At 40.7% G+C, this 19,812-nt stretch overlaps 3 protein-coding genes and 1 pseudogene across 18 annotated transcripts in view, besides 8 other annotated features; 3 read left to right on the top strand and 1 right to left on the bottom strand.

Annotated features, from left to right (window-relative positions):
- Positions 1–9,606, bottom strand: part of PKP4 (plakophilin 4) — a 224,478-nt gene extending 214,872 nt beyond the window's left edge. For 10 of the 14 annotated variants that reach the window (NM_001377220.1, NM_003628.6, NM_001005476.4 and 7 more), the window contains exon 1: positions 9,340–9,606. The gene's annotated coding sequence lies outside the window, so the exon portion shown is untranslated. Of the gene's footprint in view, positions 1–8,250; positions 8,666–9,339 lie in introns of those variants that run through there. The other 4 variants (NM_001377221.1, NM_001377218.1, NM_001377219.1 and 1 more) reach the window with 1 other exon arrangement.
- Positions 8,247–8,326: an enhancer, noted in NCBI's record as "active region_16680". NCBI's record gives its function as "activates an Ori minimal core promoter by ATAC-STARR-seq in GM12878 lymphoblastoid cells {active_cell/tissue: GM12878}" and the evidence as "EXISTENCE:reporter gene assay evidence [ECO:0000049][PMID:35858748]".
- Positions 8,424–9,427, top strand: LOC124907900 (uncharacterized). The gene has a single exon (XM_047446754.1). It carries the CDS (start codon positions 9,104–9,106, stop codon positions 9,425–9,427), a length of 324 nt encoding a protein of 107 aa, XP_047302710.1. The 5' UTR covers positions 8,424–9,103.
- Positions 8,607–8,826: a silencer, noted in NCBI's record as "silent region_12039". NCBI's record gives its function as "represses an Ori minimal core promoter by ATAC-STARR-seq in GM12878 lymphoblastoid cells {active_cell/tissue: GM12878}" and the evidence as "EXISTENCE:reporter gene assay evidence [ECO:0000049][PMID:35858748]".
- Positions 8,857–8,916: a silencer, noted in NCBI's record as "silent region_12038". NCBI's record gives its function as "represses an Ori minimal core promoter by ATAC-STARR-seq in GM12878 lymphoblastoid cells {active_cell/tissue: GM12878}" and the evidence as "EXISTENCE:reporter gene assay evidence [ECO:0000049][PMID:35858748]".
- Positions 8,937–8,986: a silencer, noted in NCBI's record as "silent region_12037". NCBI's record gives its function as "represses an Ori minimal core promoter by ATAC-STARR-seq in GM12878 lymphoblastoid cells {active_cell/tissue: GM12878}" and the evidence as "EXISTENCE:reporter gene assay evidence [ECO:0000049][PMID:35858748]".
- Positions 9,237–9,286: a silencer, noted in NCBI's record as "silent region_12036". NCBI's record gives its function as "represses an Ori minimal core promoter by ATAC-STARR-seq in GM12878 lymphoblastoid cells {active_cell/tissue: GM12878}" and the evidence as "EXISTENCE:reporter gene assay evidence [ECO:0000049][PMID:35858748]".
- Positions 9,507–9,876: a silencer, noted in NCBI's record as "silent region_12035". NCBI's record gives its function as "represses an Ori minimal core promoter by ATAC-STARR-seq in GM12878 lymphoblastoid cells {active_cell/tissue: GM12878}" and the evidence as "EXISTENCE:reporter gene assay evidence [ECO:0000049][PMID:35858748]".
- Positions 9,507–9,901: a biological region, named in NCBI's record as "Sharpr-MPRA regulatory region 156".
- Positions 9,607–9,901: a silencer, noted in NCBI's record as "tiled region #156; HepG2 Repressive DNase unmatched - State 1:Tss". NCBI's record gives its function as "represses a minimal TATA promoter and a strong SV40 promoter by Sharpr-MPRA in HepG2 cells {active_cell/tissue: HepG2}" and the evidence as "EXISTENCE:reporter gene assay evidence [ECO:0000049][PMID:27701403]".
- Positions 9,805–19,812, top strand: part of CCDC148 (coiled-coil domain containing 148) — a 285,681-nt gene continuing 275,673 nt past the window's right edge. For all 3 annotated transcript variants that reach the window (NM_001301684.2, NM_138803.4, NM_001301685.2), the window contains exon 1: positions 9,805–10,143. Coding sequence is in view for 2 of the 3 variants with exons in the window: in NM_138803.4 (NP_620158.3) it covers positions 10,119–10,143 (25 nt within the window). In the remaining variant the exon portion in view is untranslated. The remainder of the gene's footprint in view (positions 10,144–19,812) is intronic.
- On the top strand, positions 19,097–19,392 carry RN7SL393P (RNA, 7SL, cytoplasmic 393, pseudogene; annotated as a pseudogene).

Here is a 19,812-nt window from a genome sequence, read left to right as displayed (position 1 = left end):
AATTTTTTTTTTTTTGTATTTTTAGTAGAGATGGGGTTTCACCATGTTGTCCAGGCTGGTCTTGAACTCCTAATCTCAAGTGATCCACCTGCCTCAGCCTCCCAAAGTGCTGGGATTACAGGTGTGAGCCACTGCACCCAGCCGTTAATTTCTTTACTAAGGAATTTGGTATAATGAATTATTTATCTAGCAAGTTGTATTAGAAAAGCATTTTTTTAAAGTCTAAATAGTTTTTTCCTTTGAAACATGCAGGATAAATGGTATCAGGGTCTCAGACCAGTTTACAAAAGGACAGAGGATAGGTACTAGGCACAAACAGACACGATTATCCAAGAGTAGCAGGTGAAGGTGTTCAAAACTAGAATTCAAACTCATTCATTCACTTAAGGTATGTAGAACCACTGGAGGTCAAGATTTAAGTCCTGTAGAAAGATAAAGTCCCTGCTGTTGAGTAGCTTAGAGCAGGACTATTTTCCCATGGAACTGATATACTATAGTTACACTACAGGACGGGAGATTTATGGATTAATGTTGCTTCTGTGAAAAATTATATTCACAGTTCTAAATAATATTTTGGAAGACTGACACTTGCCGATATACTATCCGAAGATTTCAGACTGACACTTATTTTTCATCTGTTGACAGTCTGAATTAGACCTTTAACATCTGAGTTGTTTATCACAGGTCTCAGACTAATAGTATTAATAGTTCTTGTGAAGTCCAGTTGGATTTTGTGATTCCTTAGTCAGTGCCTTTTTTAAACAGACTTACTGCTTATGTAGTTGTCGACAAAATGACAGTAAGTGAAAAATTCCCATCAGTGCATCATTCTGAGATTCAAAGTAAGATTCAATGAGACCATTTATTCTAGCATACATCACGAGAGATTTTGAAACATTCTGTTTATTCATAACAATGGGAGGGAATATTTTCAACAGCAAGTTTGGGCTTATAAAGGCACACAAATTACATAGAGAATAAAAGAAAAGCACAAAACACAATAAACGAAAATACTGCTGCATGAAAAATAAAAATAAGAATGTAATAAAATGGCAGGTCTTACAGCATAAATTATGGTTTCTCATAAATCATGTATTGTCATTATGATTAATTATTTCACATAGGCTATATGGTAAAGTGTTTCAAGAGATACAGCCAAAATAATCAAGTTCATGATTAAAACTTATTTTGAAATCACTATTTATCTTTGGTGCAGACTTTTCCCAAAGAAAGCTAATGAGAGTGGTTAGTGCATATCTCTAGAATCGGGTAATTTATCATGTAATACACAATTAAGCAAGTAGAAGTATGAGCTACAACCTAGTTATTTTATAGCTCATCCTTAATACTTATGAAACAATGTTACATGCTTATTTATATACCAACATTTCTAGGACAATCTTCTCTACCTCATGTGTCTTATCTTTCCCAACCAGACTGAAAAATGTATCATGGATTCCTTAAAGACCGAGACTCCCATTACTGAATCTAACACAGACAGTAAGTATCCCTGGAGGAAGTCATCTTTTTGGCCATAAGGCCTATCAGTCTGATATGGAGTAGGGGACTAAAAAATGTTGGTTAAAATGAACTAAAATGAATCATTTCAAATAAGTAGTATCGTTTTAAATAAGTATGCAAAATGAAACACAATACTGCACACACAGCAGGACTCCAACAAATATCTAAAGTACTAATTGTCTACAGTCCCCTCACTTGCACCCCTAGTGGTATACAGGAATAAAGTTACCTTTAATTCATCAAACAGTCCCTGTTTCCCACTCAACTCAGGGTACAGGTGTCAGAACACATGATCCATTTCACTGCAAAGTGGTAAATAATGGTTTCTATTTTACATGAGTGTTTACAATTCTCATGAAGGTATGGGAACAACAGCCAGTTCTTCAAGGGTTTATTTTGATCGTGACATTGACAATTCATTTAATACTGCATACAATAGTAGTATAATTAATGCTTCCCTTTGCAAATAATGTGCTTATTGCATTAGCAAAGGGGAAGAGCTAACCTCAATATTTTTAAACAATTGTTTTATAGATAAATACATACTAGAGTTCTATACGGATTTTTTTTCTCCACAAAGGAAGAGAACAGGGTCTAGGAGAAACTTTCATCACTGAATTTTTAAATTACTTTTTATAGAAGAGCACAAATCCAAGTAAAAAATTCTCCTCATGAAATCTGCCACAATTTCTGAACACTGGTAGATTGTCTATATGTAAAAATTAGACTTGAATGAAAAGTCCCTCTATTCTATGAGATATGGATTGACGAGTTCCCTATGAACCTAAAGTATTCATACAAAATGTTTTCAGAGGAGCAACTCTGTCAGTTGTTTAACTTCTCTGAGGACAAATCAAACCATCTGAGCAAGTAAGAAGTGGATCTTTCTCACTGTAACAAGACTAGTCCCTTCTAACCACCATGCTAAATCCCCTTTCTTGTTTCTATCCAACTTCTGAAAAATGTAGTCTCAATCAGAGGTGAAGCCTCCAATGTGCACAGGGGACTGGTTGTAGACAAGTAAGTCCCAGAAGTCAGGGCTGTGACAAACTGCAGATGTGCAGCTCCATAAAGGCTCACTGCTCAGCTCCTGCCCCGAGGGGCCCCAGGGATCCTCACTCCTGGAGCACTTCACCACTACCGCACAAGACACGGAGCCACTGACTCAGCCACAGAGGGGTCACAGGTTTGTCTGGCTGCGACACATATTTTCAGGAGCTGAGAATTTCAAGTATACAACTTCAATTTTCCCTCCTTATCCCAGAGGGTAAATTGTCATAAATCCTTGGGAAGACAGCATATTCTTGCTGAGGAAAAAATGTAATGGCTTGATGTTCTAAGAGTTGCGAAATGTAAGTACTAGAGGGACTCTAGAGAGCATCTAGACCAACTCCCTCATTTTATAGACAAGAAAACTAAAGCCCACGAGAGTTACATGATGTGCTCATGGGACACACACCTGCATAGTGGCAAAGCCAGGACTAGAACTAGAGCCTCTTGATATCTATTTAACCACTGTCTGTTGATTTATATCATGTATATTCCAAACCCCCTTCCTCTTTTCTAGCCTTTCTTGATTTGGGAGTCTCCTGCTGATTTCAAATATCCTTTTTTTTTTTTTTTTCAACTGTGATCACTTTCAGACAGAAAAGCCAGCTTAAAGAGTTAATTTACAAGCTGCATTTGGGCAAATGGTGTTAAATGATGAACACTTTCTAACGCTTTATTCATGTACTGACTAGCAAAGACATTTTATAAAATGACTACTACCTGGGATTACAAACGCAATAATTGTATACATTCTCCTATACTTGTTGGCTAGCGGTGGTTAATGCCTCTCTAAGTATTGCCTACCGCAAGAAGCTACAACTTCCCTACTTAAAAAGGCCCTTAATTACTGTGCTGGATTCTCTTTTCTACAATGTCCTGCAAACTATCAAGCTCACAATGGTTTCTGTTCAGCAGTTTATTTCTTCTCTGAAATATCCTGTTGAAATCCATAATCATTTTGACAAAACCCACACAGAAAGCAAGCCAATAATTTCCCTGGCATTTGGTAAATGCTGCAGAAACCATCATAAAAGCACCACAATGTAAAAATAATTATTTCAATGTATTAAGCGCTGGCTCTGAACCAGCTCCTGTTGTAAGCACTTTACATGTATTAATTCATTTAATCTCCCCAACAACCATATGAAGTGGGTACTTTTATCACTCCATCCTACAGATGAGCAAAACGAGGACCACAGAGATTATACAATCTGCCAGGTTACACAGCCAGCAAGTTGCAGTGCCAGAATTGGACCCTGACAGTAAGGCTGCTAATCATGACACCTCACTACCTTAATGACACTTCATGAGCCTCACTGAGTATGAAGGTGAAATCCCAAGCACTTTCCCTGGCCAAAACTACCATATGTAATCTCAGACTAGGGTAGAGGCAGACAGCAAGACTTTGAAAACATGTGCTTCATCCCTTCCCCTCACTTCCCAAAATGATATTGTTTTAAAACAAAACAATTAAAAATGAATGTGAAGAAGGTTCAAAAGTCTCAAAAGAGAAATTCAACTTCCTTGTTGCCATGATTTGAGGTACAAGGGGAAACAGGGCTGATTATGTATATTCAAGCTTGGAAAAGTTTTTTGTTCTTTTTTTTTTCTTAAGAAAAATTTTTAAAAACCACTGTGAACTTCAGGAATCTTGAGCTAAAATATAACTTAGATCAATATAATCCAAATTGTATTTTTAAAAGGAGGAAGCTATCATCCAAACATTAAATGGTTTGTCAAGGTAATAAGGTTTAATGGCAGATCTCCTAATTTCTGATTTGGGATGCTTTTTACTTCCCTCATGCTTGCAATTCAGACACAGCTTGCAATGGGCCAAAACTTCAGATACCACCTAGCCAGTGTTTCAAAAGTCTATTTGTAAACTGATTGTGGGTTTCTATGAAAAACTGCATTCCAAGTTTCGGGCCAGGCCCCAAAAGCCTGCATAGTACCCTGATAGCCTCACTTCAAATACATATTTTACCTAACCTTCATATACAGTATCATTTTTGTGTCAAACCCCATACCTGTTTTAAATTCAACCTGGAATACAGGACACCAATGTCTACATTTTATGTACATGGTCTCAGGCCATAAGGAGCTTCCTCTGCCTTGCCAAGCTCACAGATGTGGTGATGGCATAGTGTGTGTGTGTTGTGGCAGGGTGGTGGGGGCAGTGTAGGGGCACAGATGAAGGAAGAGCAGTACTAACACCATTAAATATTTGCAACTCACCCAATTTATATTTAGTGGAGAGGAAACTATAGAAGTCAAACATGCCTCAGATGTCAAAGAAAGGTGCTTCCCCTGGCCCCCTCCCTCCCTACCCTATATTGTGAGTTCTGGATTTTGTGAAGACTGTATTATTCTATATCTAGCTACCTGGATTGGCACCCACCCAGTCACCAGGCATTATTCCATTCAGGAAAAATGCTTTGCAATCACATGACTTACAATAACTCAGACACTTCCACATTTTAATTTATATATTTGGTAGTAATAAAATCTCACAATACAATCCCTAACAACATTTTATCAGCTGCAATGAATCATTATATATGAGTCATAATAAACTATAATGTTATCAAGACTATGAATAATAAAATGATCAGTGATATAGCCAACATTTATTGGTATATCAAACAAATCTGAATTATGAAAAGGAAAAACAACAGGTCAATGATGAAGAAAATGTCTGCAACATTCCTAAGTTTAATTGAAGATCACCATCATGTAACATCCCCAATTTAGTAATGGTAACATAGCACACTAAATTAAGATAATTCCACTGAATTATTAAAGTGACAAGGTAAGAAATATTTGAATGTTATGCAACTTCTGAACTGAAACCAGCAAGTACATGAATTACTGTTCTTGGCAACTTAGAGCCTGATTACCTTACCTTGAAATAACCCTGTTATTTCTTATCACTGAGCATCGAACTGACCTGCTGACTGCTATCATCACTTCCATTGATGTAAGAATGAAAGCTTACATCCACGTATCTTAAAAGTTTTCCTTCTTTTCTCTATTTGCAGCTGTCTGTAGTGTTGTCTGGCTGTGAAATAGTTATTTAATTCTCCAAACATACCTAGTCCTCTGGTGTTATGTTTCAGATTCTTCTTCCCCCTTCAGTGCAGGAAGGGCACTACAGAATCATTTCACACATTGAAGGAGTAACTATCTCCCTGTACACTTGAAGGCGTGAAGGCAAACTTCCCAAACTGACATACAATACCATAGGCATTTATGCCCTAAAATAACCCTATAGTAACCTCTATTTTACCTTCCATTTAAGAATGAAGATATGATGTCCATTTTAGAATTAAGCAAGGTAGGGAATTACTGCTCAATTGAAACAGAAAGAAAAACACATTAGATTACAGAGCATTCTCAAAATACCTTAATATTTCAAAAGAGTCAGGTAAGAGACTAGACTTACCTGATGGTTGGCATCATCCAGGGTATGAATATTATTTAAATTGATCCCTGGGTAACAGCATGGAAATTACTAAGGTCAAAAATTGCCAATAATTGCATTTTCAAAAATTAAAGCGAGTTTCAAATTTTTACATTAAATTTACTTTGCCTATTTACAAGAAAAGGAAGAAAACTGCGATTCTAATTTAAACCTAATCCAAATACTCAAGGTCATAGAAATGCTAAAATTTTTATTAAACTGAATTTGGTAGTAGTTTCTTTAAATTCATATCATGTCAGAACTAGTCACAAAATTAGATTTGATTTATTCAGCTTATAAATGCATTACTGCTGCAATAATGTATATAATTTTACTTTCTGGCTGAATACTAGCTGCCCCTAGTTTCTTCTTCCCTTGTTTTCCATCAATACTCTGCTCCCTTATCTCCCTCCAAAAACAATACAGGTAAAAATTAAAATAATTGGATATTTAGCTTTCCCAACTTAGACTCTTCAGTATAATACATAAGACACCAGATGCAGCACCCTCTCCTTACATAATAGTAGGGGGTGGGGAGGGAATGCACTTTGGTCAAAATACAATTTCGGTTATTTTCAATTGTGTAGGATCACTAGTTGAAAAACTTCCACTCTTTGAATATCTGTAACAAATAGAAAGCATTTCTAACTGAAAGGTTACCTTTACCTGAAGCAGGCAAAACTATCTGCACAGCCAATCGTGTGTGTGTGTGTCGTGTGTGTGTGTGTGTGTGTGTGATCCATACATCTGAACAGGGTTTTCAATTTCTAATGCGGCAGGGAAACTAAATTTGCTTTTACTTCCCAATCTTGACATCAAGTCAAAAAAGCACGGGTTAAGCATGGGTTAAACACTGCTGTAATATGATACTGTTACATAATAAAAGTTTCCTGTTGGCATTTACAAACACCTCCCAATATCCTCCACAGTGTTACTGGACACAAATTAAACCTCTAAATTAGAAGATTCACTGATTATGCACATAGCTGAAAAACAACGTAGCAACCAAAACATAAACGTTTCTGAGTGCAAAATATTTTTTTCTATTTTTTTTCCTTTCTGTTGAGTCCTTAACTAAAGGCTCCTATTTAATAGTTTTCAATGTCCATGATCTACACAAAGTAGGTGTTGGAAGAAAGCTGATTGGTCAGACAACTGACTTATTATTTTACTGAATCTGACATAAAATAACCAGGTGCAAAGAGGTTTATCATAAATGCAACCTGCAAAGCAAATTGTGTCAAATAAAAACACACATATGATGCTTTTCAACACCCAGAAACACTTATTTCAGACATTAGTTGTTCTCGTTTTCATGTTGCCATTTTCCATAACTGTTTCACAGGCACCAAAACGAAGATACTCCTACAGCAATATACTGCATTCAAGAAGAGAAGCATTCTTCTAGTTTCTCTTTAAAAATAAAAAGAATCTAAGCTCAATTCTAGCGAACCATTTTCTGTCAAAATTTTGCTCTCCCGTATTAAGGAAAACAAAATTTGACCAAAAATGCATACTAGCCATCATTGATTTTACACGTAAATAATTACCGTTCTTTAAAACTTGTAGGGCAGCATTTATTTTTTTTTTTCAGTCAAACTCAGTAACAAAGAGAAAAAACTGAGACCTCCACTAATAAATTACATCTTGAAATATACATGATTGTGGTGTCCCCGTGTTACTTTCAATGGTAACTGACACGTCCCGAATTTAACTGTACCAGACAGTTCTATCTGTCCCATCGCTGACCGAACAGTGCTTCTCTGTTTCTATTCATTATGTATTATACGAGGTCTAAACACAGCCCAGTATGACGAGGGAAAAAAATTACACTTCTTAGGATACCAAAGTGATGCATTCAAGATCTCTCTCGCAGTACATGCCCGTGAGCACTAACAGGCATTTTTTGATAGAGCTAAAATATGTTGGCTGCAAGCTCATTACTCTAACAACCTTCAGGCCCCCTGTTTCTGCTGGTTTTCAGAAAACCCTAGTGAAAACCAGGCACTATCCAAACCTTGCACACCAAACTTGCCAACAGCCCTGTGCAATGATCAATAACCTTGGCTACACAGTCATCGGCCCCAAATTCACGGTCCTGAAGACCAATGCAGCAAAAACCCAGACGAAAGGCTAGCTGGAGCCCCAAAGAATTACCGCGCTTCCCCTCTGCCGCATGGAGGGAAGCTATGGGAGGAGAGGAGTGGAATGAGGCTCACCAGCTCCGAAGATGCTCCGGTGACCTCTGGCTGCGCGGCGAGAGCTGGGGAGGGAAGGCGCTAGGGCAGCCGCGGCGGGCTGTGTGGACTCTGCCCCTGGTGCATTCCTCGCATTCCTGCACAATCTGTCGCCAGCCCAGGAGCCGGCAGCGCGCGTCCCCCGCTGTACACACACACCTGACTACCGCTGCGCCCCGAGCGGCCACGGCCGCCGCGGCACCTCCACTGCCCGCGCTCGCGGTGTGTCGCACTCAGCCAACACGCAGCCAAATCCCGGCCCCGCCGCTCGCTCTCCGGGTAGCGGTCCAGGGGAGAGGGCCGGCAGCCTCGGCAGCGGGCGGGGATACCAGATCCGCCAGGGAGGTGCCGCAGCTCCGCTTCAACTCCTGGCAGGGAGAGGAGGAAGCGGCGGCGCAGGAGGGCAGCGGCGAGGCTCGGCGCTGGGGAGCCGGGAGGGGTGGAGCGTGAGGATCCGCGGCCGGTAGAGAGGGGCGCACTAGGCAGAGGGGTGGGCAGGACCGGCAAGGAGTACAGGACTTCGGGGACAAACGCAAGACCGCGCGGGCAGCAGGGGCGTGGGAAGACGGGGAGGGGACCAAGGTGCAGGATCTGGGGCTAGAAGGACAGACAGCCGGCCCCGAGTGCTGAGGAGGGCGGGCGCCCAGTGGTGTCGAGGGCGACTTGGGGCGCGCGGCGGCAGGCAGCGGGGAAGCCGCCGCGAGGGCGTCCAGCAGGGCTCAGCGCGGCGCTCAAGTTCGGGGCTGGGAGCTCTGAATCCGAACAGCCCAGCGTGGGCAGAGGTCGTGCGCTGCGCGTACGGGAGACCGGGGAGAGGAATCGCCGGGAAAAGCAAATGGAGGGTGAAACTTGTGCGCCTGCCGGGGGGAGGGGAGCAGCAGGCGAGTGCGGGCAGGAACACGAGGCGGGGCAGGAAAGCCGCGGCGGCCGCGAGGCGCTGGGGACGCGGCAGCGGGAGGGAGGCCCCCGGCCCCCGGCGCGCAGGTCCTGGCCCTGGCGCGTGTTCGGGGCGAGGGCCGAGGGTCTCGTGGGCAGGAGTCTCCGCGCCCTCCCGCGAGCCCACACACTTACTTTCCAGCTTAGGCAGCGGCCGTCGTCGCTCCAGGGATCAGGGACATCGGCGCCGAGGGGTCGCCGCTGCGGCACCCGAAAAAATTAAAAAAGTGCCGCGGCGGCGCGGCTGCCCGCCCCTCCCTCCCCCACCGGCCCCCGCCCCCGGAGCGGCTCTCCCACCACCCCCGGCGGCGGCGGTGGCCAACTTGCCCCTCTACCCCTTGCCCATGGTGCCGCCTCCGCGGCCGGCGTCGACGCGGACTCAGCCCCGGAGCCCCCTCTACTGCCCAGAGGCCGCCGCCGCCGCCCGCCCCGCTGCCAGCCCTCCCGCCCGGCCAGCCCCGGGCTCCCGGGAACGTCAGCACGCCGCCGTCCCCGGGCCAGCTCCCGCCACCCCATTGGCGGGAAGGAGAGGGCTGGCCCTCCCCATTGGCCCGGCCCTCATATTGAACAGGCCAATGGGAGCTGCGGTTTCAGGTCGCCATAGAGACCGATGCTGTTCAGCGCGAGAGGGCCTGGAGAGGGTGGGTGTGAGAGAGAAGGTGTCTCAGGTCTCGGGCGCGGGAGGGGGTGGCGGAGAGGACAGGGAGATTCCCCAGCGCTGGCTCTGAAATCTGGGGCAGGCTTTCCTTGCCTTACTGCCAATCCCAACTGTGCCTGGTAGGGTTTGTCCCTGGCGTCAAAGGTAGGAACAGCTGAGCCCTTAGATGTACCCCTGACGGCGAGAGCCCAGGAGTGGGCGTTTCACTTTTCCTGCGTTTGGGGAGTCCCTGAGGCTATGCCCTTTGACCTTTGACATGTGTGCAGCTTCTGCTTCTCCAGGTGAGTTTGCACCCCATCCCTTCCATCGCTGCTTCCTCCTGACGTCACTGAGCCACCTAAATCCTACTTATGTTTGTTCTCTGCAGCCACTCCCCCTTCCCTGGGGTGGATCTTTCCTCAACGTTTTGGGTCCTCAAACTCATAACTCTTCTGAAAGACTCAAAGAGGATTTCCTTTGAGGATATTTTGGTAAGGGAACGAGGTGGCGGATTGTATGATAGATGCCAAAGCGTCAACACATGAGCTAGCCTGTTCCCTGATTCTCAAAGCAAACCTCTAATCTCCCTGTGGGCAGATATTTATTAAACACATCTGTGTGTACATCCCGCACTATGAGCTTGACAGGTGCATGTTCTTTCACTTGAGAGGTTACAGGCTTGTTAAAGATAGAGGAAACAGAAACAATCCTTCACACCTTGTGATGATTTCACAAAAGAGTAAGGGAAATGGATTACAGTTGATGGATTTTGTTTTCTATTTTCCAGTATCTCTTTAAATTTGATATGGAAATAACCTGAGGCATGAAATCAGTACACGCAAAAATCTTGAGCTTTAATAATGTCTTCTACTTTCATTTAAAATCATTTTGTGGTGGTTTATCAATACTAATTGTTTTTTGTCAATAAATTTTATGTTTAGATATCACCTTCTTAAAGTGAGATTTCATGAACATATTAGGCTTTAAAAGATGATATTGCTCTAGCCTATAGCCACTGATATTCTTACATTCTTTTGGCGATTTTACTTTTTTTAGACTAATCTCTTTAGTAAGGAGACTATGTTACTACCCCTCAAATTGGAGGGACCATATTGTGTGAAAAAGCTGATAGGATTTTGGAAATTACAAATATTTTGTTGGGAGAAACAGGTTAATGTGTGTGCAAGCTGCATATGTCTAAGTATTGTTCTGAATTTTAAGTTGGGTGATATGCTTTGCTACTGGTTTTTATCTTACTATAATTGAAGATTACAAAGATGTAACCTAAGAAATGTTAATATGGTGCCTTGATTGGAAAAAAAAAAACCTCTCCACATTTGTAGTAAAATGTGAACTCAGTTGACAGTCCTACACAGGGTAGGACTGTGGAACAAAACAGGTGAACGTGTGTATGTTCCCCCTAAATATTTTCAGAATTGAGAAGGGATCAGCAGGGGCCAGGAAGTGCTGTGCCATGGCTGGCCATCATGGAAATAGGCTGTTTTTTACTTCTTCCGGCTTTTTAATGTGTGTTTTTGTTTATAGAACAGAAAAAGTAAACCACAAATTGTTATATGAGACACATGTTTAATGAAAAGATACCAATGATTTTGCTTCTTTTAAATTTCAATAACATCAAATGAATGAAAGTTGTGTCTAATGGAAAGAAAAAATGGGTCTTTTCTCTTGCCTTAGGCTAGCATAGAAAGAAGAAAATAAAAGATTATTACTCCAATAATCTTTTTGTGTGGGTGTTTTTCTCAGATGACTATTTTGATATTGTAGATTTCGTGTTTGTCATAATTAAAATGTTACTGAAATCCACCATGAATAATGTCCCCTGAAATAAGTTGCCACTCAACATTAATTTTTTTGTTTATTTTTGTATTTAGTTGAAAGGTTTCTTTTGAACTTGCTCCTGCGCTACTAAGCATTGCTAGACAAGGTTAAAGAATCACTTCATTCCACTAAAAGTTCATGCTATTCAGACTTGGCTGTGTCTTCACTGATTCTCAGTTCCTTTCCTCATCAGGAGGATGATTATCTGGAACACTTATCCAGGAACATTATCCAGGCCACTTCCAAACCTGTCCAATGTCTGCTCTCCTGAAGCCCCCACTTTACGTGGTTTTCCTGCACTTCTGCAAATGATCTTGCCTCGTACTCTACTGAAGGATCCACCATGAGGTTCCTCAACTTAACTTTCTTAAACCTCAGTCCTAGTTTTCACACATCTTCACCTCCTTCAGTCATGGCTGAGAAGGGTGACCACATTTCTCTTCAAGGCTCATACTCCACTTATGCTCCTAAACATGAGCCATCTTCTCTCTACCAGGATTTTGCTCTATTGATTATAATTTCTCTCTTACATGATGTGTTACACCCTCTCCTCCAAAGATTTTTCCTAAGCCTTCCAAATATCTGGCTTTTGGTAAAACCACCTTCCTTCTACCCTACCACCATCTCTATCTATTGGCCTTTCTTTTCACCAAGAAACTGTCTGAAGGGAATTTCTTGAGGTTTCTACTTTGTTGCCAATGTTTTGGCCCTTGAATACCACTGAAATGATTTTGAAGATTGTGCTCTTTGTCCTCAAAATCCTAGCTTATTTTGCCAATTAAGTTCTCTCCTACAAAAATGTCCTTTGCCTCCAAGTTGGAATGGCCCAATTCCAGATTTCCAGTGAAGGAATGAAACCACTGTTACCTAGCCTGAGGATCCACAGAAATGCAAATGACTGGCTTGAGAAGAGGATGATTTAAACTGCTAGCCTGGCCACCTTGGGAAAAGTGCTGGAAAGTAGGGGTGGGGAGAGGGCCTGTGCTCAGGCTGACACTGGGGCCCAGGGCAAGGTTAGAATATTAGGAGGTCTGGTGACTCCACCCTCAAGAACGAAAGTAAACAGCAGAAATCCAAACAACTTTTCAATTACCAGCTCAGAAAGAAGTCTACCTGAAACTTTTAAGATTACGAAAACTTTGTAACTTTCCAATGTTTATTTTTTTCATATTATCCCCTAAAGATTAGTGGTAAATTCCCTAAGAAGCATAGCAGAGGCAGCAAGGAATAGGAGGAAGCAGGAGCACTGAGTCTCTTGTCATACCTGGGTGTCTATGGAGGAGTGGGGGAGGTGAAGATAAAATCTTCAAAAAGTACGCCAATACTGATAATTTTGGGGTTTTCTTTTTAAAGAGGAATGTTAAAACAGAGGTGGGTGGCAAAGGAGGGAAAGAGAGTAATGGAATAAGCGGGGCCTGAGAAGGGTTGCTAGGGCTTAATAATAGTTCCGCTCAGGTGGCTCTGGTGGTTTCAGGATTGGCTGAGCCCCACCCCATCCCCATCCTCTGAATATATTATACAAATCCTCCCATGGCTCTGCCTAATGATTACCTGTAAAAACTTTCTGAAAGTTTCCTGGCCTTCCCCCTTCTTGAGAGGGTGAGTTCTTCCTTACTGTATTGTGACCCTTGACACTCTATATCAAATGGTGTGGTTATTTTTGTGTGAGCCTTTTCCCCTAAGGGATAGGATCCACATCATGATCATGATTGTGTCCCTCACTGCCTTAAACTGCTGAAGCACCTCCCACACTAAGAAAAGCCAATATTTATTAGTCCTTTGTTTAGTTCTTGGAAGAACTTGACTTTGAACAATAAAAAATTGGAATCAGGATGTTGGGAGAGAATTAGGAAAAGTTGGGATTAGCTGTACAATGTGGAAAAATCAGATAAAGTATGATAGAGCAGAATAGAGGTTTTGAAACTCAGCTTTGCTAAGCAAGTTAAGGGTTACATTTTTTGGTATGTGAAACTTCTAGGTTGTCCTGTCTCTTGGAAAACAGTGGGGTCATGAGATTTTAACAACTTCATAAAATCAGAATGGTGTCAAACATCTGGTATGTGTAATAGAAATGCTTCCTAGTACGTATATCCACAGCCCTTGAAGGAGGCAGCCCTGCACACCTCATAACAATGCACCTGGCAAGGCATCAGCCCCTGTGGGGAGACCTGAGCCATGTAGCCAATCCACTGCCTAACCATTGACCCCTAACTGGTAATGATGCCAATCAGATTATTTTCCAGGGAATTTGAAATTAAGAGAACAAGAGAACCAGAGAGAGCAGCTGTCTTGGTCCTGATGTTTTCTGGGTTCCTATTGAAGGGACCACAATATGCCTACCCCAAAATGTGCCATTTTGGCATAAGGAATATTTTGAGCTGAAAGCAATTGAGAAATAGCAGATACAAGAAAAACTCTTTTTCCCTCCTGCTTTTCTGTCTAAGAGTAGGCCATAAATTTCCATTTATAAAGTTGTCTGCCTCTCTACTACCAGGAAAGGATCTACTTGGAAATATCTCTTGAGGACGCTTATGCATATAACACACCTTACTAGACAACCCTTATTTATCATACGTTTCCTAGCACCTTTCCTAACTTCCCCCCTCACCCCTGTTCTCCACAGGAAGCCCCATACCCCCTTTCCTTTGTGTAGCCTCTTCACACTTAATCACTTCTGTTACGATGGTATAGGTCAAAAATTCTAATTGCCTCCTTGAGTCACATTTATTTGTGAAGGCTTTGTGTACATATGTAATTAAATGTTTTTTCTCTTGTCAGTCTGTCTTTTATCAGTTTAATTCTCAGACATTGAAGGTAAGAGGATAGAGGAAAAGTGTTTTTCCTTCTTTACACTATTCTCCTCATAAGGTCATACTTAAATAAACTTCATTTTCTTTTTGTTTTGTGAGATTTTTGTTTCCTGTGATCATCCCTACTCCATTCTTTTCCTTGTTTGCCTTTAGTGAGTCCCTGTTCCTTGCCATCCAAGGCTTCATTTACAAATTATGCAAATATTTTACAACAAAAGAAAACAGATATTATGACTTGATGAACTATGAAGAGTAACAGCCTAAAGTTTTTTTTAATAAGTAAATAGTAGAAAATGAATTACCTATCTAGTATCAAATTGTTGCCAACCTGAGTTAGGCAAAAGAATTTTTTTTAGTGCGGTGTCTCTATCCCCTACTCTCCCATATCAAAGCCCTTTATTCCTCAACAATCTGTTCTCATCCTTTCAAGTTGAAGATAAGAGAACTTTGAGAAAATTAGTGATATAATTGTTTTTTCAGGGTAGAATCATTTTGCCGCATCATTGGTATGGGAAGAAAATATTGGAACTTGTATTTCTATTATACATTTTAGGAATCAGGCTGGAAAATAAAAATAATTTATTAGAGACATCAGTAGTTATACAATGCAGGAGAAATAGACTCTGATGTTTAAGTTCCAGCAATTTAAAAATTTCTCAGGAGGAAAATCAGATGTCATCCAAAATTGCTACTATATTTTATTTAAAATACTGAATTATCAACAAAAATTATGAGACCTGCATAAAAACAGGAAAGTGTGACTGAAATTCAGGAAAATAATCAGCCATTAGATACTCTAAGTGACCCCACTTGTTGGATTTAGTATACAACTAATTCAAAACAGCTAGTATAAGTATGTTTTAAAACTTAAAGATGAAATGACTCAACAAATATGGACTCTAAATAGAGAAATAGAAACTATGAAAAAGAAATGAAAAATTTTAGAGTTGAAAAATATAACAATTTAAAAATCTGCTGTATGGGTTCCATAGCAAATTTGTGATGGCAGAACAAGAAATCAGTGAACTTGAAGACAGACTAATAGAAACTATCCAACCTAAAGAATAGGAGAAAGATTGAAGAAAAATGAACAAAGCTGCTGGGACTTGTGGGACAGAATCGAAGTATACCAATTTATGCTGGGAGCCCCAGGAGGAAAGGAGGGATAGAAGGGTATAGAAAAAATATTTGAAGAAGCAATGTCCTAAAACTTCCCCAATCTGTTTAAAATCTTAATCCACACATCAAAGACACTCAGCAAACACCAAATAGAATAAACATAAAGAGAGGCACAACTAGATACATCTTAGCCTGCTGAAAGACAAAAATAACAAGAAAATTTTGAGGCAGCAAGAAAATAACAACTCATTTTACACAAGGGAATCACAGTAAAATTAACAGCTGACCTCTCATTAGAAACAAAACAAACTAGAGGATAGTAAAAGGACGTATTCAAAATGCTGAAAGAAAAAACCTGTCAAGAATTCTATATCTAGCAAAACTGTTCTTCAAAATGAAGGTGACACTTACCGTAAGTGGACCTATGTTGGAAGTGTGCTAATTACTGCCAGATCCCATACAGCCAGCAGCTTTGTGCAAAGCTCAAAGTAAAAGAAGGTTGTCAGACAGATGCAGGGCACCTGGCAAGTCACCCATCATCTCCAGCTGGAAAGCAGCTCTTTACTCAGTGCTAACACTGGGTCATCAAATGATCACCACAGTAGAGGGCTGTTGTAAAATGCTAGATCTGAAGTTCTTCTAAAATAAATCCTCAGAAAATATGACCTCATTATTTCCTGAACTTCAGAGCTCTTTGTCTGCTTCGTAGAGGTAGAAAGAAGGTTATTAAAGCAGTAGCAGAGAGAAAATGAATCATTCAAAAAATATATGCCCCCACTCTATCCTTCAGCCGTGATGCCTGGCCCTTTACATCCCTGGGCCACTGTTTATTGTTGTTTTCTGTACATCCCTGGGGTTGGATCAGGACAGCAAGACAACAGTACCTACTAATACATCATCTTGTCAGGAACTGCCACATTTGTCTGTAGTTAATTTTTAAAATACAAAAAAAAAAAAATGAAGATGACAATATGTGCCAGAAAAAGCAATTGACAAGATACAACACCGATTCACGGTAAAATGCTCAACATACTAAGAATAGAAGGGAACTTTGTTGGTGTGATAAAGTGCATCTATGAATACCAACAGATAACAACATATTTATGGTGAAAGACTCCATGCTTTCCTTCTAAATCTGAGAATAAAGTATATGGCCATACCACTTTGAACGTACCTGTCTGATCTCAGAAAGTAGGGAGGGGCCAAGCATGGTGGCTCATGCCTATAATCCCAGCACTTTGGGAGGCCAAGGCAGGCAGATCACCTCAGGTCAGGAGTTCAAGACCAGCCTGGCCAACATGGCAAAATGGCATCTCTACTAAAAATACAAAAATTAGCTTGGCATGGTGGTGGGTGCCTATAGTGCCAGCTACTCGAAAGGCTGAGGCAGGGAGAATTGCTTGAACCCAGGAGGTGGGGGCTGCAGTGAGCCGAGATCCTACCACTGCACTCCAGCCTGGGCGACAGAGCGAGACTGTCTCGGAAAAAAAAAAAGAAACCAAGGAGGGCAAGAAGGGACAGAACTCATTAGTACTTGGATGGGAGAATAAAATAAGGATGTCCATTCTCATCTCTTCTAGTCACCATTTTACTGGAGGTTCTAGCTAGTGTAACAAGGAAAGAAAAAGTCATATTGATTGGAAAGGAAAAATTAAAGCTGTCTTTATTTACAGATTACTTGACCTTATACATAAAAAATCCTACTAGGACCTAATAAATGAATTTAACAAGGTCACAGAATACAAGATCAATATATAGAAGTCAGTTGTATTTTTATATGCTAGGAACTAGGAATCTGAAAATGAATTTTAAAAAACAGTTCCGGTCGGGCACGGTGGCTCATGCCTGTAATCCCAGCACTTTGGGAGGCTGAGGTGGGCAAATCACAAAGTCAGAAGTTCAAGAGCAGCCTGGCCAACATGGTGAAATGCTGTCTCTACTAAAAATACAAAAATTAGCCAGATGTGGTGGCGGGCACCTGCAATCCCAGCTACTCAGGAGGCTGAGGCTGGAGGATTGCTTGAACTTGGGAGGCGGAGGTTGCAGTGAGCTGAGATTGCGCCACTGCACTCCAGCCTGGGTGACAGAGCAAGACTCCGTCTCAGAAAAACAAACAAACAAAAACAACAACAACAACAAAAACCCAATTCCACTTATAATAACATGAGAAAGAAGACAATATTTAAGAATAAATTTTAGAAAACAAGCATAAGACCTCTAATCTATAGATTAAATGTCATCTCTATCAATATCTTAGCAAGCATTTTTATAGGAATTGAGAAGTCAATTTTAAAATGGAAATACAGGCCGGGTGCAGTGGCTCATGCCTGTGATCCCAGCACTTTGGAAGGCCGAGCGGGGTGGATTGCTTGAGCTCAGGAGTTGAAGACCAGCCTGGGTAACATGGCAAAACCCTATCTCTACCAAAAATACAAAAATTAGGCATGGTGGCTCACACCTGTGGTCCCAGCTCCTCAGGGGTCTGAGGTGGGAGGATGGCTGGAGCCCAGGAAGTCAAGGCTGCAGTGAGCTGTGATCACACCACTGAACTCCAGCCTGGATAACAGAATGAGACCCCATCTCAAAAATAAATAAAAAAAAAATAAAATGGAAATACATATCAAAAACAATCTTGTAAAAAAAAGGTAAGAGTTATTACAATACTAATTTCAAAACTTATAAAGCTATAATAATAGGATGTAATATTGGCATAATGATAGACACTTAGATCAATGAAATAGAAGGTACAGAAATTAATATATTTACAATCAGTTGGTTTTCAGCAAAGATGACAAGGCAGAGCAATAGTGAAAGGGATTTTTTTTAAAGAAATACTACTGGAATAATTGCATATTCATATGCAAAATACTGAACTTAAATTCTTACCAAACACCATACAGAAAAAAATTTATATATATCACAGACCTACCTGTAAGAGCTAAAATTATATCTGAAAACAGTAGAAAATCTCTGCAACCTTGCTTTTGGAAAGGTTTCTTTAGATACAATACCAAAATTGTGATCCATTAAAGAAGAAATTGATAAATTGCATTTTATAAAAATGAAAAGTTTTGCCCTCCAAAAGATACTGGTAAGAAAGTGAAAAGACAAATAACAGCCTGTGAAAAAATTCCTAGGTCAAATATCTGATAAAGTACTTGTATCTAGAATATATAAAGCATGCTAAATGTGAAAAATAAGATAAGCAATTCAATTAAAAATAAAATGTTTTAATAGAGATTTCACCAAAAAGGTATACAAATGATTAATAAGCACATGAAAAGATGTTCAACATATTAGGGAAATGCAAATTACAACCACAATACGATACCAGTACACTACCAGTAAAATGGTTATAAACCAAAAATTGACAATACACAGTGATGACAAAGATGTGAAAAAACTGCAACTCTCATAAATTGCTAAATGTGTAATGGTATACACACTTTTTGGAGTCATTTAGCAACTTATTGAAAACATAAACATAGCCAGACACAATGTTGCATGCATGTAGACCCAGCTTCTCAGATGGCTGAGGCAGGAGGATCCCTGGAGTTCAGGAGTTCTGGGCTATAGTGCACTATGCTGATCAGGTGTCTGTACTGTTATGCATCAATATGGTGACTTCCTGGGAAGAAGGGACCACCACGTTGCCTCAGGAGAGGTGAAGCAGCTCAGGTTGGAAACAGGGCAGGTCAAAACTCCTGTGCTGATCAGTAGTGGGATTGCACATATCGATACCACTGCACGCCCGTCTATGCAATGTAGAGAGGCCTATTCTCTTTAAAAAAGAATAAGTCATATATATAAATATAAACTTATACCATATGACCCAGCAATCTTACTTCAATAGAAATAAATATGTATGTCCACACAGACTTTTACATGAACAGTAGCAATATTGTTAATAATAGCAAAACATTGGAAATAATCTAAATATCACCTGATGATTGACAAAACAAAACATGGCATACTCGAATACTATTCATCTCTAAAAATAATGAACTACTGATACATGGTACAATATGGATAAACCTCCAAAATATTATGCCAAGAGAGAAAAAGCCAGACAAGAGGCCTCATTTGTATGATACCATTTATATGAAACTCCCAAAAAGGGAAAAAATATGGAGATAGAAGACAGATCAGTGATTACCTTAGACTGGGATGGGAGGATTTAATACAAGTGGTTATGACTGAATG

This window comes from Homo sapiens, chromosome 2 (genome assembly GCF_000001405.40).
Source record: "Homo sapiens chromosome 2, GRCh38.p14 Primary Assembly".
Classification (NCBI taxonomy): domain Eukaryota; kingdom Metazoa; phylum Chordata; class Mammalia; order Primates; family Hominidae; genus Homo; species Homo sapiens.
This window is presented reverse-complemented; position numbering and strand designations above follow the sequence as displayed.